This window comes from Homo sapiens, chromosome 12 (genome assembly GCF_000001405.40).
Source record: "Homo sapiens chromosome 12, GRCh38.p14 Primary Assembly".
Classification (NCBI taxonomy): Eukaryota; Metazoa; Chordata; class Mammalia; order Primates; family Hominidae; genus Homo; species Homo sapiens.
In genome coordinates this window covers 40357437-40374111 of record NC_000012.12, presented here as the reverse complement: position 1 = coordinate 40374111, position 16675 = coordinate 40357437, and the positions used below count along the sequence as shown (strand labels likewise).

The window sequence follows — 16675 nt, the reverse complement described above, 5'->3', positions numbered from 1 at the left end:
TATAATCCAGGGACCTTAATCTTTCACTCACTCAAGTAAATCAGTTCAGTGAATAATCACCAGAATATTGGTTCCACCTACCAGCTTCAAACTTTAAAACTCTCCTTTTTCTTATCAACAAATAGAAAGCACCTAAAAGTCCTTTTAGGCTTGGGTATAAGGAGAATCTGAGAACAACATGCTCCTCACAACAGCTGTCTGTGGTAGTATTTTTATATCTTTTTGTATATGAGGACATTTGTACAAAGAAAGATTGAGCAACAAAGTGGCATAAGAGAGGGGGCCAGGCCCAACAGCCCAGGGCCCATGTCCCTAACCTCTATGATGTGTTTGATTCTGACTCACAAGATGAAAAAAGAAAAAAAAAAAGGATTAATTCTTCTGCTTGTGTAGATTTGCAAGGGAGATTTTTTGCATCAGTTTTTGATACACAAGATTCCAATTAGTGATTAAAGATTTAGGTTGACTGTTTCTTCTCATTTTCCATAATTTATAGTTGTGCTATAAAAATCTTCTTCAGTCAGTGTTTCAAATTATGTGTTTTCCTTCTTCCTGTTTACATTACCTTGAAAGCATAAAAGTTATTTGAGAGAGAAATTAAATAATTTATGCCTCAGTTTATGTGATGACATTTAGAAAATAACACCTGGAAAACCATTTTCTTTAAAGAAAGTCAGTAACACAAAAGGAAGAAGTAAAAAGCAAAATGTCAGCAGCCCGTGGATGAAGGACAGCTTATTTCTCAGTAATTGACACATACTAATTATCTTTATGGAAGACCAAAGTGTATAAAATCACTGAGAGCATTTAGAGAAGAGGTGACTGAATTTACCTAAAAGCTTAACACAATATTTAACTTATGGTATTACAACATATTGGTACCACTTATGTTTACTTTTGAAATAAGTACATAACAATGAAGATATTCTATCGTATGTGGCAAAAACATTTATCTTTAAAATAAAATCCTTCTTGCTAAACACGCAGTTTATTGAGAGCCAAAGATACTGCCAGCTTTACCTAAGGACAATGACACACAAAACTAAAATGTTCTCAATTATTTTATAATTTTCCACTCTAAGAATAAAGAACTGTCCAAAATTATCAGAAATGTGTAGATGGTTTTTAATGTGAAATTTTATTCTCACATATAATTATGTCTTACATGCATTGTACTAGTTAGTAATGTTAGACAGAGTGGACATGAAATGGATAAATAGTAAAATTCTATATTGTAGGTGGGGAAGGGAGGAGCACAAAGGAAAATAGAGGTTGTTTGCAATGTGTGTAAGTTACATCAAAAAAATAATTCTGGCTGTAGCAGAAGAGTTGTCACCCAGTGATCTTCAACCTCAGTATTGCTCTTTTCTCCCACCCCATCCATCAAAATCAACAAAAAGAGCAAACTCACTCTCCTTCTTATTGCACAAAACATTATCCCACTCAGAATGGATGATGTGTACTATCCAGAAATCAAGAGCTTCAGGCAATTCATTGGAGTGAATTGTTTAAAGAAAAAATCATAGATGTTATCCATTGCACTGCTCTTCATACTAGCAAATGAAGCACATCTGTAATTAATACTGTTAATAGAGATGAACTTAATGTGTTTATTTTAGTAATTGCAGACTGAAAACCCCTGATAAATCTTTGCAACTACCACTTAGGTTTCCTACTACAAAATCCTCTTGATGTTACAGGCTGAAATGAAATTTAGACCCATGTAGTATAGAAATGTAGATCAGTAAGTGACAATGGAAACAGATGAGAAGGCAATCATAAGGACATCATGAGGGCAGAGATCATTTTTCTAGCTGTATCTGGCCGTGGCTTTCACTAAAAGCATAAAAACATAATGTAATGAGTCAATATCTTGATAGTAGTTTCTTTTCACACTTTAATTGTTTGGTAAATTAGATTAAACCCCTTGGCACCTTGAACTTATTATTAGTAGTTTCCAGGAGCAACTTCCAAAGATCCAAAATGTATAGTAATGTGTGCTTTATTAGAGAAAAGTATTTTTAGTGACACTGATTTCTAATATGAATTCCCTCATAAGGTGGTGCTTGTGTGTGACTTGCCTGGGAATTAATTGCACAATTCCTTAATTTACACTCATCCTTCTAGAAGGTGGGTATACTACTCTTGCCATTTTACAGAAAAAAAAGATGATTCTCTGGTCATTTGTGCAACTTGCTCCAGTTCAGATTACTAAGTAAATGCCAAATCTAGAATTTAGACCAAGGTCTTTTTCAATTCTAAATGTATGTTCTTTCTGGCTGCTTTCTTTTGCAACTGTTTCTGTTTTTTTTTTTTTTTTTTTTTTTTCTGTTTTCTAAAGTGAATGCAGGTAATTAAGAAAAACTGAACAATAATGGCAGCATTTATGGAATAAATGCAGAGCCCTTAAAAATGACATTATTAAAGAATATGTTCCATTTGAATATACAAGTTTATTTTAGATTTATTTTTAGGCATACTTTGTCTACCTTGAATTGTATAGTCTCGTCAAAGAGGTCCACATCCCAAGCTATATTAATAAGCATATACTCTTTCTTTTCCTAAAAGCAGTTATTTCAGCCAAAGCAGAAAGTTTTTATTTATCTGCTTGTGCAGAGATTTCCTGATCCAATACTAGCACAGATTTATGAATTTAGTGATTGCAGCAAGGATCCATCTAAACTAAGCTTATGGTCAGAGAATAGTCTTTTGCCCGCATGCAGCTTCTATTAGTGGTTGCCTTCTTACTCTGATGTACAATCTCATCTGTGTTACCTAACGTAGTAGGAAATGAAAACATTGCCAACATGAGACAATCAGCTTGCAAATATTTTATCCCCTGGACCCCCGTTATAGTAAATCACATTTCTGCTATGTACTAGCCTTTTAAACTTTTATCATAATAGCAAAAGCTTTGAGTTAGTTACTTTGTGCTCATTTTGTAATGAGATGGGGAAATCTCTTGTCATATATTGTATATATACATAAAGTCATGGATTCCTTCTAGGATTTCTTAACCTATAAGATAAACTTGGTGTTTGAAACATCTCTCCCCATTTCATCCTAACAAATACTCCCTCTGCAAAGAAAAGCTCATTAGCTTTATAATCTCTCAATTAATGATAAAATGCTATATCCATACACAAATATATATTTCTCTTGCATCTTCAGTCACTTAAGTGTATCCTGTAAGTACTCTAGGAATGGGAACTTGTCACAAGTTTTAGCACGTATTTGATAGGGATGCTTTCAAAATAAGCTCACATTCCTAAGACAGCACATGTGTGATTTATCTGCCTAGAATGTTTACTTCACTCTGGAAATTGTAGAATGCCCATGTGTCCTAAATTGTTGAATGCCCATTTGTCCTAAGTCTCTGCTTAAATATTTGTACTTTTTTTGTGATCCAGATCCTCTATTCTCTGGCCAGGTAGACATATTCTCTATTTTTCCATAATACTTCTAATAGAGTATGTATCACATAGTTTGGTATTTTCATAAATAAATGGTAACAACCTTCTCTTGGGAGTGTTCAGTGGGTGATTGTGGTGAAGCCCAGGTCAGAATGATACCTATTGTTTACTCCATAAAGTCTAGTTTTCTAGGCTGTGATTGCTGTGAAACAGTGGATTCTCACAGAGGCCAAGAAGCAGCCCCAGAATCCAGATGCTAATACTCATTCCCTTTCTCTTCTCTTTTTCTTAGCCTAAGACAGACATCAAGTAGAGACTTCCCAGGTAAGGGTAGAAATCAAGAGCAGTGTGAGGGCAGCACATAGAGAGAACCACCTTAGGTTCTATCTTAAAGCACATCTCTGCTCACCCATTCAGAGTGTGTTCAGACAGCAGGCCTTTGGGTCAGGTGCCTCCCTGTCTTTTGCTTGAAATCAGGGTGATAGGATCACTCCAAATGCCTTGACAAATTAGAAAGAACCACGTACGTAGGTGCCTTTAAGCAGCCAGATTCTGAATTGTTATTAGAAACAATGACACCCTGGATGAGAAACTGGCTAGCATGGAGAATGAGGATGTCAGTTTCTCCCGAGTTGACATAGTTTACTATTTTACTGAATTGCTGATAAGCCTCCATGAAAAACATTCAATTTACCAGGTTAGGTGTTCAGCTACCCAAAGTGATGGATAAAGAAGCAAAGTCCCAATGGTTTTGAATTTTATCTCCCCTCAATATTAGAACATTTGCATCCTTACATTTAACTTAGGAAAATTGACAATCTTTTTTTGGTAATTCTGCTATGTTTCATCAATATATTTCACTGCCTTGATGAAAAATAAGTTGCGTTTTAGTTGAAATAGTTCACACATAATCGATAGAGTACCTACCAGAATTAGAGTCAAAGAGGCTCCCTTTTCTTAATTCAAAATTTTCCCAAAAGAATATTTTGTTACGATAATATGCTTGTATTTTGATCATAATTAGCAAGTTATTTTAGGCTTCTAATCAGAAAACAGTTGAAGTGACTGTGCCTTTTTTTTGTATATGTCATTTGCTCTAAAGTCTTATATTTTGTTTCAGTACTCAAGAGCAAACAAGTTTACTTACAAAAACTTTTTAAGAGAACTTGAAAATAGAATGTATCATGCCCATCAGATTTTGTCCTGGGATCCTGGCAACTATATGTATTATAGAAAATTAAATTTAAATATTCCATAAGTTATCAAGGAAAAAACTTTAGTTGCACTTTCTTATTGTGGAATGTCCCATATACAAATTAATACAAAGTTTCCTATGAGATGGATAACAGACCTATATGTGAAAAGCAAAACACTATCACAAAGTTTAAAAATTCATAAACATGCTTAAAAGCATTTAAAGTTTTTAAAAAACCTTTATTATTCCATTTAAATATGGTATTCATTTTTTTAATTTGTCTTTGGTAAAAAAAATTGCAAATACAAAGTAACAATGAAAGAGATAACACTGGAACAAAGAGCTCTATTATATATGATTTTTTTGTTAATTACATAACAAGTTAAAGCATAGCTTCCTTTAAAATACAGAAAATCTTTCATCTTTAAGAATTTGATTACCCTTAATATAAATAAATTTAAAGTTTTCACATAGTAAAATGCCATAAGTTCTGAGAATATTAAATGTACTAGTTGTCCTATCACAGGGAATTATCTGAAATAATGAATACTGGTCAGGGCCAAAGAATTTACCGAAAGTACTTTTCCTAAAGCAGAAATGACCTCAAATTATTACATAGGTATTTGGCCCTGATACTCCTATTGTGGTAAGCTATGTAAACAATTTAAGTATAATTTGGAAGCCTAGGGTGGCAGATATTTTTATCCATCATAACTAAAGCTCCTTTCTCCTTCAGCAACTGAAAAGTGTTAGATATTTATCCTCATGGTCTTGGTAGGAGCTGTGGAATTCTATAATTCTGAAAAAAAAAAAGGTTTCTATCTGAATGATGTAGGATCTGCAGCATCACAAATTTAGGGAAAAGATGAATATAAGCATTAGAATGAAGCAGATTAGAAAACAAGTAGCTAGTGGTATGAATAAAAAAATAAAAATATCACTTGAAGGACTGAACACTGTATTTACACTAATTATACAAAATTCAGGGTATCCACATTCAAACATAGAGTTGAAAAACAACTCTATTATGTCTAGGAAAGACACAGAGAGTTTCTGTGACAAAGAGAGTTTCTGTGTCTTTCCTAGATATGAGGACTTTGACAGTATGTCATGTTTTTTCATTAGTACTTTTAATGGAGTTTTCTTTTGAATTGAGTGAAGTTGTGTAAGATGCACTGTTTGCAACAGCAACAAAGAGAATTCACATACCAACAAAGGACTTTATTAGTGCAAATTCATTTGAATATTTACAAGCATATATGATAGTGCATTTCGATGCAATCTAAGAAGGAATACATTACATGGGAAACTGTCTTAATATTTTCATTATACCGTGCAGATTTCTAGAAAAATCGACAAGCAATAGTCCTGTCTTAAGCACAGAATTTAAAATAAAGTTTACCTCCATTACAGACAAGAAAACAAAAAATTATCGGCCTTATAAATTTTAGTATGAGTACTTAAATTAGGTACTTCACAGATTTATTTTCATTAATTAATGAACGAAAGTAACTGGTATTTATAAGAAATATAACATTGTGTTTTAAATAGTTCTTTAAAATACACATTTACTGGTAAGTATTTTTACATATATTTAAATTAAAAATAATAACATTCCTTCATACACACGAGCTATTTCAAAAAATGTGAGTACCCTTTCCATGTGAACATTTTTAAAATAAATATTTACAAGAGGAGAGAATAATTTTCCTATCCAAAGACAATTCCTATTTCTCTCTTACTCAACAGATGTTCGTCTCATTTTTTCAGCTAATTCTTTTCTCACTTCAATGTGTTTTTCTAAATTTTGCACTTCATGTGGAAGATTGATGTCCCAAACGGTCAAGCAAGATTGTATCTCTAGAAAAAGAAAAAAATGAAATCATGTTTCAAAGATCCATCATAAAACATTCTTATTTTATTTCAGTTTGGCTCATGTATTTTTAGTTGACTTAGATAAATGTAAATATAAACACAGCTATAACTAATGTACTAAATTATTATTTATAAAAAACTATACTTGGAAAAGTTTTATAATACATTATAGAAACTATTAAATTTCAAATAGAGTATCAACATTTAATAAATTAACATTTCATATTCTAAAAGAAATAAAAGCTTTTTCAAACACTGTTCAAAATTAGACATTATGTAGATATAGATAAGTTGTAAAAAATATTCACATTTCGTTTAAGGTTGAGCTAGTGATTGACACCTCTACTTCAGCTGAAAATATAAATATTTAACACTTCATATCACTTGTAATTTTGAAAATTTATGTCTAAGTTCTTTACACTATAAACTACCAATTAAAATTCCTGATTATACCATATGTAATATTTTCTACAAATTTATGAAACACATAATATGTTACCATCATTCACATCATTGCCCTGTTTGGAAAACAGTATCCTTCTAAATGTTACCTTTCTGCTTTTGTGTACCTTCAGTATTTTTCCGGTTGTAGCCCAATACCAGCATGACATTTTTAAGGCTTCCTTTACAAAAACAAAATATGTAAGTTTTCTGTTAAAACTATATATTAAACTGGCCTGAAAAAAAAGTAAAGTTGTTCATAGTTTAAGACACAAATACCTTGGAACTGAATTCACAATTCTATTTTCTAGGTGACCCTTCAATTATATTGAATAAAGACCAGCATTTTTTTAAAAAATAACAAAATCTGTGATCCACTCCTTGCTGCAATTCTTAATTATGTGAGTCTGAGAAAACAGCTTAACCTTTCTATAAAATAGGCTCAGTATTTATACATTACCCTTCCCAAAGTTACAATGTTAAACGAGGTAATGTGTGTGAAAAGTTCTTTGGATATGGTAAGGTACAAATATGAGTATTTAGTACAAATATGAGTATTTAGATGGACACTTAGATGGATGGATATACTGATACTATGTCAAAATATCATATTTTCTTTTCAAATCATTCACTAATTTATTCAACAAATTTGCATCAAAAGTCTTCTATGTAGGCCCTAGGCTAGATCCTGGGAAAAAAGGGGTAAACAAAAACACACTAACCCAACCGTCTTGGAGTTTATATTCTAGTGAAGAGACTAGCATTAATGAAAAAAAAATATGACCATGATCAAAACTATGCAAGAAAGCTGTTATGGGAACCCAAAGCGGGAACTTTGACCTAATCAGTGTTGGCTTCTCAGAGGTTTTGACACAGGAGCTAACATTTCAAAGCATATGAGTTAAATAAGCATGAAAAAAAGCTATGTTAACTAAGCAAAGAAATAAACAGCATGTGCAAATCCCTGAGGCAAAATATAGCATAGTAATTGAGAAGAACTGGATGTTCATCTAGACAAGCAAGATCTGGTAGGAATGTGGTAGATGATGGAGGCAGGAGAGGTACAGTGAAGCCAGCTCATGCAGCACCTTGTAGGCTATCCTCCAATTGATCTTTATTTTAAAATCAAACTATAACCCATAGACATTCCACTATAACTTCAGTTATAAGCAAGCTATTTGGGTCCCAAAGTACATACAATTCAACTAGAGAATGCAACAACTTTGGTAGAATAAGACTACTGAGACAACCTATTGAGAGACCTACTGCTCTGCTTGTGTGGACATGTATCTTAATAGTTTACAGTCATTAAGAGCATCTAATTGTAACTCCTGTGCAACTCTAAAGTCTATAAATGAAAAATAGGTGAAGGTGCTAGAAAAACACATGTTCCTCTTTCACATATACTTGCAATGAATATATTTTCTTCACCATGTTCAAAACATTCATTATTTGCTAAAGTTACATAAATTCTAGTTTTTTTCAGAATTAAACCCCATAGTGTCGTTTTTGTAAACTTTTGTATATATGCTATTATTGTTATTTTCTAAAACAAATTATTATCAAAGGAAGACGCAAATATATTTATGCAGAAAATATATTTTATGTGCTATCACAATTTTATCATATTTAAATATAAAAATAGAAGCAAAAAAAGACAAAGTTTGAGTAAAATATGATTTGTCAATATTTGTAGGTTGTGCAGTTCAGCATGTATTGCTGCAAGAAAAAAGATTTGTTATAGAATGAAAAACCAAATGAGATTCTTTAACAAGCTGGGAGGCTAGACTATGATTAAAACAAACATTTTCTTTATTTTCTTTGCTCAAAAAGTAAAATATATTCAATACCATGTATTTCCCATTTTTGCCTTAGGTAAAAAGGAAAAAAGCAAGTAAGACCCAAACTGAGTGTTCAGCTGCAGTAATCTGCTTCTCTTGTGGGACTGAGAGCATTTACTCCCTCCACTTCTGTAATGACCCTATTCACAATTTATACCAGTCTTATGTTTCACTGTGTGACCCTCCAAGACCATCCATATGACACTGGAAAGTTCAGAGAAAATGTAAACGTAAAATAAAGGCATATTTTATAAGACTTAGAGAATATGAAAAATATCTAAAGGAAAGAAACTTGCCTAGCTGTGCTGTCATCATGACTCTGACCGAATTACAAAAGTTGTAAATTACACGTATAAGTCGACGAGTTGAAAGATCCAGGAGTAAAATATGGCCTCCTCCAGTTCCTATCCAAAGAGCAGTGTTCTTCTGAAGGCAGAGGGTTTTCACTCTCCCAGAATAAGACATTTTGTGTTTTGATTCCTTGTTTTCTTTTACCATTACCTCCCTAGAACCATAAAGTATACATTAATAATTTTACCACCAATTAAGAGATAAATGCTATTTACATATGATAACATAAACAACATTTTAAATTATTAAAACATGACACCACCACCATTATGCATCATTAAAATTATACAAAGCAAATTTTGCTAAATACAGATGCCAAAGAGCCACACTTCTTTACTTGAAGCATAAATTATCAAAGATAACAATAGCCCTTCATTTTCAGGAAATTATGAATAAGAGGGATACAATTTTTATAAATACCAAAGCTATCTAATTCAGTAAAAATAGCATACATGTGCCCAGGATAAAGAAAAAAAAAAGTTAGAGTCAAAAGTTTTACATGAAGTCTCAATGTTACAAAGGAACATAAAATTATAGTCATTCACATGTAAAAGATATCGATACAAACCACTGAATTTTTTCCCAGAACCAGTGAATAGTCTAATTCATGACAAAAATGAAGTGTCCAGAAATAAAAGAATCCTAATCGTTTTGGTACTTCAGGAAGTAAGGAACCCTTTATCAAGGAGACCTGTTGGCCCTTCTGAACATAAACTGTGAGCCCTTCTCACAATCCATAGAAAAACTGTCAGATGAATCTAAGACAGGAAACTTTGAAGTATCCTTTTACAGATATAGTGTGTAATCTAAAATGTTCTCAAGAGTATCATAGATCTATATGGTAAAATCAAAACAAAATAAAAATATAAAGTGGCTAGCAAATAAGCTTGAAAATGGTCCTGTTTCTCAGCACCAGCACAGAAAGAATGTGCTTGCTATGGATTTGTCACTCACAGGCTGCATCAGACTAAGCACTATGCTCTCATTCTGGGGTCTTGATCCCCACTCCTTAGCGCCTCGGTCAGTCCATTGCATTTCCCCCCATATTTGTCTATTATTTTGTGACTCTTTTTCTTTAGAGCAGATAATCCTGGGGCCCATAATTTAATTATAAATAGTATATTTGACACTGTGACAGAACTATGTCAAAGCTAGCAGAGACTCCAATATGCTCATTTTCAATAATGTAGTATTTTCATTCGAGAACATTCTTTGTAATACCATGAGAAAACTATGCACATTATGTGCCTATTCTTTTATGTTCTGAAGACAAAATTTTCTTGATCTGAAAAGATGGTGCTGAGAAGCATTACAAATTTTTTTCTGCATTTTAAAAAAATTCTCTATTCAGAGGCAGAAAGGAAGAAAAATCCTTCCTCTGTGACACATGAAGTGCAAAGATAATTCTTTTGGGAATAAAATTAAAAACCACAGAATTTACCTTAAAAAGTGCACGCAGTCTATTAGTCCACAGAGTTTTTCAGTTTTCTTATCCCACACTTCCACAACAGGGCTATTTTGCTTAGCAATATAGAGAGCAGTGTCTACCACCACTGTTATGATGTTGGAATCACTGAAAGCTGCATAAGAAAACCTACAGAGAAAAAAAAATAGAAAGTCATCACTATTTGTTTTCTTCTTAAAATTTCTACGTGTAATACAACCTTATATTAGTTCTTAATGTAAAAACACTATTTTGAAAACTAAACAAGCTAGACTATTGCAATTATTTCATATTCTTCCCTAACCATTCTGAATTGAATATATAACATGCTTTGGTACTTTACTTACTTTTGGTTACTTTATATTAATTTCTTGTGATAATAAAATAAAGATTATGTCCAATGTTTACTTTGGTCTTACTTTTAGTTTCAATTCTATGTGGCTCTTTGTAGAATTTTGTACTATATCTAAATTTCTGAAGGAAATATTATATCTGTAACTTTTGAATGTTCTTGCAAAACTTTGTTTCATGAATGCTCAGAAAATTAAGTGTTAGCCTTTTATACCTAGAGTTATAAAATATAAAATGCTGAAATAAAATTTAGTTGCAGTGTCTTCAAATTTTAAAGCAAGGGATATCTTTGCAGTTAAGCCAGTCAAATTATAGAAAACAAAAATCCACATCATCCAAACATAAACAGAAAGTAAAATATTTGCCATTTTCCCCTTTTAAACATAAAGAAAAATTACGAACACCTTAAAATATTTCCCTTTCAACCTAAGACATCTGGCATTGTACATATTTCACAAACAGATTGGCTACCTTGGGCCACATCAGCATGGCAAACTCCTACTTGGCCTTTGAGGATGAACTTAAATGTCGGCTCCTCTGGATTTCTTCCCTGACCTATCAAAATAGACCAACCAGTCCCTTTTCCCCACTGGTGTCACTGTCATATTATAGACCTTATTAAATATAAAATTGTCTTTATTAGTGCATCCCTCACACTAGATTATGAGTGTAATTTCATAAGGATGAGGACAATGTATTTTCTACATACCCCTCGTCCAGTAAACAGTTGCACAGATAAGCACCTCTGATATAATCAAGCAGTCTGTTAAGTGGGGGAATAGAAGAAGGCACTACAGTATGAATGAACAACGAGGAATATGTAAAAATAGTCAAAATTGCATTTAAATCAGATAGATAACATGAAAATACCATAAAGATTTAACAATCATTAGTATATCCTAGAGTAGGAAGATTTTTTTTCCTCCCCCTTTTCTTTCTATTCTGGAAAAGGAGGTAAAAATATGATGTGTTGTCAGAGAGCCACTACGCTTTAGGTAATTCCTTCTTGGATATTTGCTGTATTTAATAGAAAATAGTTCCAATTAGGACAAAGTTTTGCATGGAATTTCCGTATTTTATAAAATACTTTTGTGTGTTATCTTGCTTGATCCTTAATAAAAAAACATAAAATATGATAAATCTCAATGTTTTTAATAGTAGAAAGAAACATGTACAAATGCTAAATAATTTGCTCAAGGTCCTATGACTAACATCATGCTTGCCGACCTAGGACTAAAAACATGTTGCAGACCTAGAACTCCAAAAGTCCTATGGAGTCTTCCGGCTTCAAAGGCAGTCATCTTTCATTACCCAACATGCCTCTCAGTCGGTGTGTACTGATGATGATGAGGGTACTGATGATGAGGCAACCCCTGATTAGTGATGTGATGTCTGTTTTGTGGGGTAGAGACCAAGGCCACAGGAGATACTTGTTCAGAAGAGAGCAAATATTTATATTTAAGTGTTTATGCATCTAGGTCCCAATCTCTTTTGGGAGATGAGCATCTTTGAGAGCTTGATCTTTATGGATGCTCTCTAGTAAAGCATCTATGCTCCAAATCTTATATGGAACTTTAAAGAGTTAACTGATATCCATAATCCCATAAAATGTGCTATGAAATAAAAAAATAAACTGGAGGCCCTTTCTTTTTAAAGGTTTTCAGGCTTGTATAATTGGGTTAAAAGTGGAAATTACAGGAAGGGGAGCAAAGATGAAAAACTACCTATCAAGCACTATGCCCACTTTCTGGGTTGTGAGTTCAGTTGTATTCCAAACCTCAGCATCACGCACTATACTTTTGTAACAAACCTGCACATGTATTCCTGGAATCTAAAATTAAATTTGAAAAATAAAAATAATAAAAGACATTTTTACATTCATTTTTTAAAATGTGGGTATTACAGAATGAGAATGAGTTGATCCAAATGTTAACCACATACTAGTAAATAAATATGTAAAGACAGAAATAAAAATCCTCATTCATGGGAACTTATAATACACTGCACTCCGCAGTATATCTTAACCTCAAATATACTTTAGAATCACTTGAGAACCTGAAAAAAAAAATCTGATCCCCATCCCAGGCTTAACTGGTCTGATTTAATTGGTCTGAGGTAGGGCCCAGGTATCATATTATTTTCAGCTACCTAGTGGTTTCTAAATGCACAGCCAATGTTGAAAGCCAGTAGATTTAGTGGTATTGAGAAACTACTTTAACAAATACAATTATAGCTACTGTGAAGGAAAACATTAGATGCAATGGAAGCACAAAGTCACCTAACCTGCCACTCAGAGCAAGTGGTGCTTGGACTGAAATAGGCAGGGGGCATAATAGTCATCCAGGTAAGGAGAAGACCACATTCAAAGGTTGGGGGTGAAAGGTAATAACAGGTTGTCTTAGAGATCTGAGTCAATTTCAGTTTGGGTAAAGCACAGATGGCAAAAAGCTTGCAAAATATGAATCTAGACAGGTAAGCAAGCACTGAATTATGAAGGGCCCAGTAGGCTGTCTTAAGGAATTTGGACTTCATATAAAGGACAATGGGATACCACTGAAGGGTTTTAAGCAGGAAAATTGCATCAGATTGATGTACATTTTAGAAAGGTCCCTCTGTCTGCAATGCTGAAAATATGTTGAAGAGAGTATAATCAGAGGGTGAGAACTGGATGCTCTTGTTAATGTGGCCACAGATAATGGATGGCAGTCTGGCCCATGGTACCAGCACTGAGAACAGTGAGAAGTACAAAGATTCAAATGACAATTAGGAGGGTCAAGTGGATAAAGGGAGCAAAAAACAAAGGAGTCAAAGATTACTCCCAAGTGCCAATCTTGGGAAATTTGATGGATAATGGGAAACCAGGATATTCCCTAAGGTAGGGATTTGTGACTCAAAGCTAATAATAATAATAATAGCTAATGTTTATTGACAGCTTACCAGGTGCTGGTCATTATGTTAATTAAGATCCATATATTAACATTCTTATTTACTCCTCCAAATATCTCTTTGAGATAGAGAATATTACAATCCTCAGGTAAGAGATGACTGAAGATGTGAAAGGTTATTGCCCAAGTTCACAAAACCAATAGATGGCAAAGCAATATCTGAACTATGATTTATGCTCTTATCCACAATCCTATACTGCTTATCACTGAGGAATGTGATAAATAAGAACCAACTGCAAAGATTTGATTAAAATACCACTGAAAAAAAGCAAACTTGAAAGAGGTTTATATTAATATTTTATTTTATTCTTGTTTGAAACTGGTATCACTAACTTGGCTGTGAGTAGACATCTGTATAATTATCAAATCTAGAAACAACTTTGGACAAGCAAGAATACTTGCTGTCTATCTTTCCTACAATCAATACTTAATGGAAGTTACCCAAATTGCATATGTATAGTCCGTGAATTTGGTGAAATACAAAGTTGATTGTCTTCCAATTTCATGTCTAATTTGAAACACAGATAATAAAAATTGTTAAAAAATTTAGATTGATAAATACTACTAAGATTACAATGAGTTTACATATTTTATCCCTAAAAGTGATTAGGTTGAGTGACTTCTTAAAAATACCCTTCTGCTTTCTGGAATTTTCAAAATTTTTTATAATGAAAGTTTAATTTTATGATAGAAAATAAATTATGCATTTTAAAAGATCTTCCTTATGAATTATCAACAGTATTATTAATGATTATAAGGAAAAAACAAAAGTATAATGATAAATTACTTGTACAGATAAAAAATAACTTACAGTTGGCTTGTTCTTGTCTCAATGAGTTTCTGAATGGTGAAATCATTAGAAAAGGAGAAAATCTTTGTGCCACATCCTCCCCACATTACATTTCTTTCCGTTGAATTTGTGGATTCACTCAAACACATCAATGGAGTACTGACATTTCCTATATTTAGTATCTTCAAAGGAGCAGCTCCTTTAAGCTTTGCCAAAAAAAAAAGAAAACACACTCAGCAAATTGAGTATCCACAGAACAAAACTCCATAAAATCTGTGCTTTCAAAAAACTACTTTCCATCTTAAATGATTAGAGATATTAAAATTAAAACTCAAAAACCTAAAGATTCCATTAAAAAAAACTCTTAGTTCTGATAAATGAGTATAGTAAAGGATTCAAAATCAACATACAGAAATCAGTAGCATATCTATACAACAACAACAACAAAGTAGCTGAAAAATCAAGAAAGCAATCCCATTTGAAGTAGCTACAAAAAATTAATAAAATACCTAGGAGTAAATTTAACAAAGATGATGAACGATCTCTATAAGGAAACCTGAAAAACATGAAAGAAATTGAAGAGGACACAAACAAATGGAAAGATATTCATGCTCACAGACTGGAAGAATTAATATTGTTAAAATGACCATACTACCCAAAGCAATCTACAGATTCAATGAAATTCCCATGAAAGCTCCAATGATATTTCTCACAGAAATAGAAAAAAAAATTTCTAAAACTTGAGTGGAACCGAAAAAGAGCCAAAATAGCCAAAACAATCCTGAGCAAAAAGAACAAAGCTGGAGGCATCACACTACCTGACTTGAAAATATATTACAAGGCTAGAGTAACCAAAACAGCACAGTATTGGCAAAAACACAGGTAGGTAGACCAATGTAGAGGACCCAGAAATAAACCCACATATTTAAAGCCAACTAATTTTCAACAAAGGCACCAAAAGCATACATGGGAGAAAGAATACCACCTTCAATAAATTGTGCTGGAAAAGCTGGATATCAGTATGCAGAAGGATGAAAGTAGGCCCCACTCTCTCACCATTTACAAAATTCAACTCAAGATGGATTAAAGACTTAAATGTAAGACCAGAAGCTATGAAACTATTAAAAGGAAACAGGGGAAACATTTCAGAACATTGGTCTAGACAAAGAGTTTATGGTTAAGATCCCAAAAGCACAGGCAACAAAAACAAAATTAGACAAATGGGACTATAATAAACTAAAAAGCTTCTGCACAGCAAAGGAAACTATCAACAATATAGAGAGGATCCATTAAATGTGAGGAAATATTTGCAAACTATTCATCCAGAATACACAAGAAACTCGAAAAAGCAATTCAACAGGAAAAAAAAAAAAGAACTCCATTTAAAAGTAGGCAAAGGGCTGGGTATGGTGGCTCATGCCTGTAATCCCAGCACTTTGAGAAGATGAGGCAGGAGGATTGCTTGAGCCCAGGAGTTTGAGATCAGTCTGGACAACATAGTGGAGCCGCATCTCTACAAAAAATAAACAGCCAGGTATGGTAGCACACGCCTGTAGTCCCAGCTACTCGTGAAGCTGATGTTGGAGGATCACTTGAGTGCAGAAGGTCAAGGCTGCAACAAGCTATGATCATGCCACTGTGAGCCAGCCTGGGTAAGAAAGCAAGACCCTGTCTTAAAACAAAACAAAAAGTTGGCAAAGGATCTAAATAGACATTTGCAAAAGAAGACATAGTAATGGCCAATGGATATATGAAAAAAAATGCTCAACATTAACTAATCATCAGTAAAAATGCAAATGAAAACCACAATGAAATCTTCTTCACCCAATTAGAATGGCTATTATAAAAAAGACAAAAAATAACATGCTGGCAAGGATGCGGAAAAAAACGAATGCCCATATGCTATTGGTGTGTATGTAAATTGCTATAGCCACTACGGAAAACAAAATGGTGATTTCTCAAAAAAATTAAAAATAGAACTACCATACAATCCAACAATGTTACTACTGATACTAATCTAAAGGAAAGG

At 33.1% G+C, this 16675-nt stretch overlaps 1 protein-coding gene and 1 long non-coding RNA gene across 10 annotated transcripts in view; one reads left to right on the top strand and one right to left on the bottom strand.

The window, feature by feature from the left end:
* Nucleotides 1-16675, top strand: part of LOC105369736 (uncharacterized) — an 89145-nt gene that overhangs the window by 69785 nt on the left and 2685 nt on the right. The window contains exon 6 of one of the 2 annotated variants that reach the window (XR_944869.3): nt 2060-2127. The exons of the other annotated variant lie outside the window; for it this stretch is intronic. This is a non-coding gene — a long non-coding RNA (uncharacterized LOC105369736). Of the gene's footprint in view, nt 1-2059; nt 2128-16675 lie in introns of those variants that run through there. 2 annotated transcript variants of the gene reach the window in all.
* The window catches only part of LRRK2 (leucine rich repeat kinase 2), a 144289-nt gene continuing 132440 nt past the window's right edge, over nt 4827-16675 (bottom strand). For 3 of the 8 annotated variants that reach the window (NM_198578.4, XM_024448833.2, XM_017018787.2), the window contains 5 exons: nt 14668-14852; nt 10558-10710; nt 9062-9270; nt 7035-7106; nt 4827-6468 (listed from right to left, as the gene is read on the bottom strand). In NM_198578.4, the coding sequence (NP_940980.4) occupies nt 6347-6468; nt 7035-7106; nt 9062-9270; nt 10558-10710; nt 14668-14852 (741 nt within the window). In that variant the 3' untranslated portion in view covers nt 4827-6346. Of the gene's footprint in view, nt 9271-10557; nt 10711-10927; nt 14365-14667; nt 14853-16675 lie in introns of those variants that run through there. The other 5 variants (XM_005268629.5, XR_007063041.1, XM_011537877.4 and 2 more) reach the window with 5 other exon arrangements.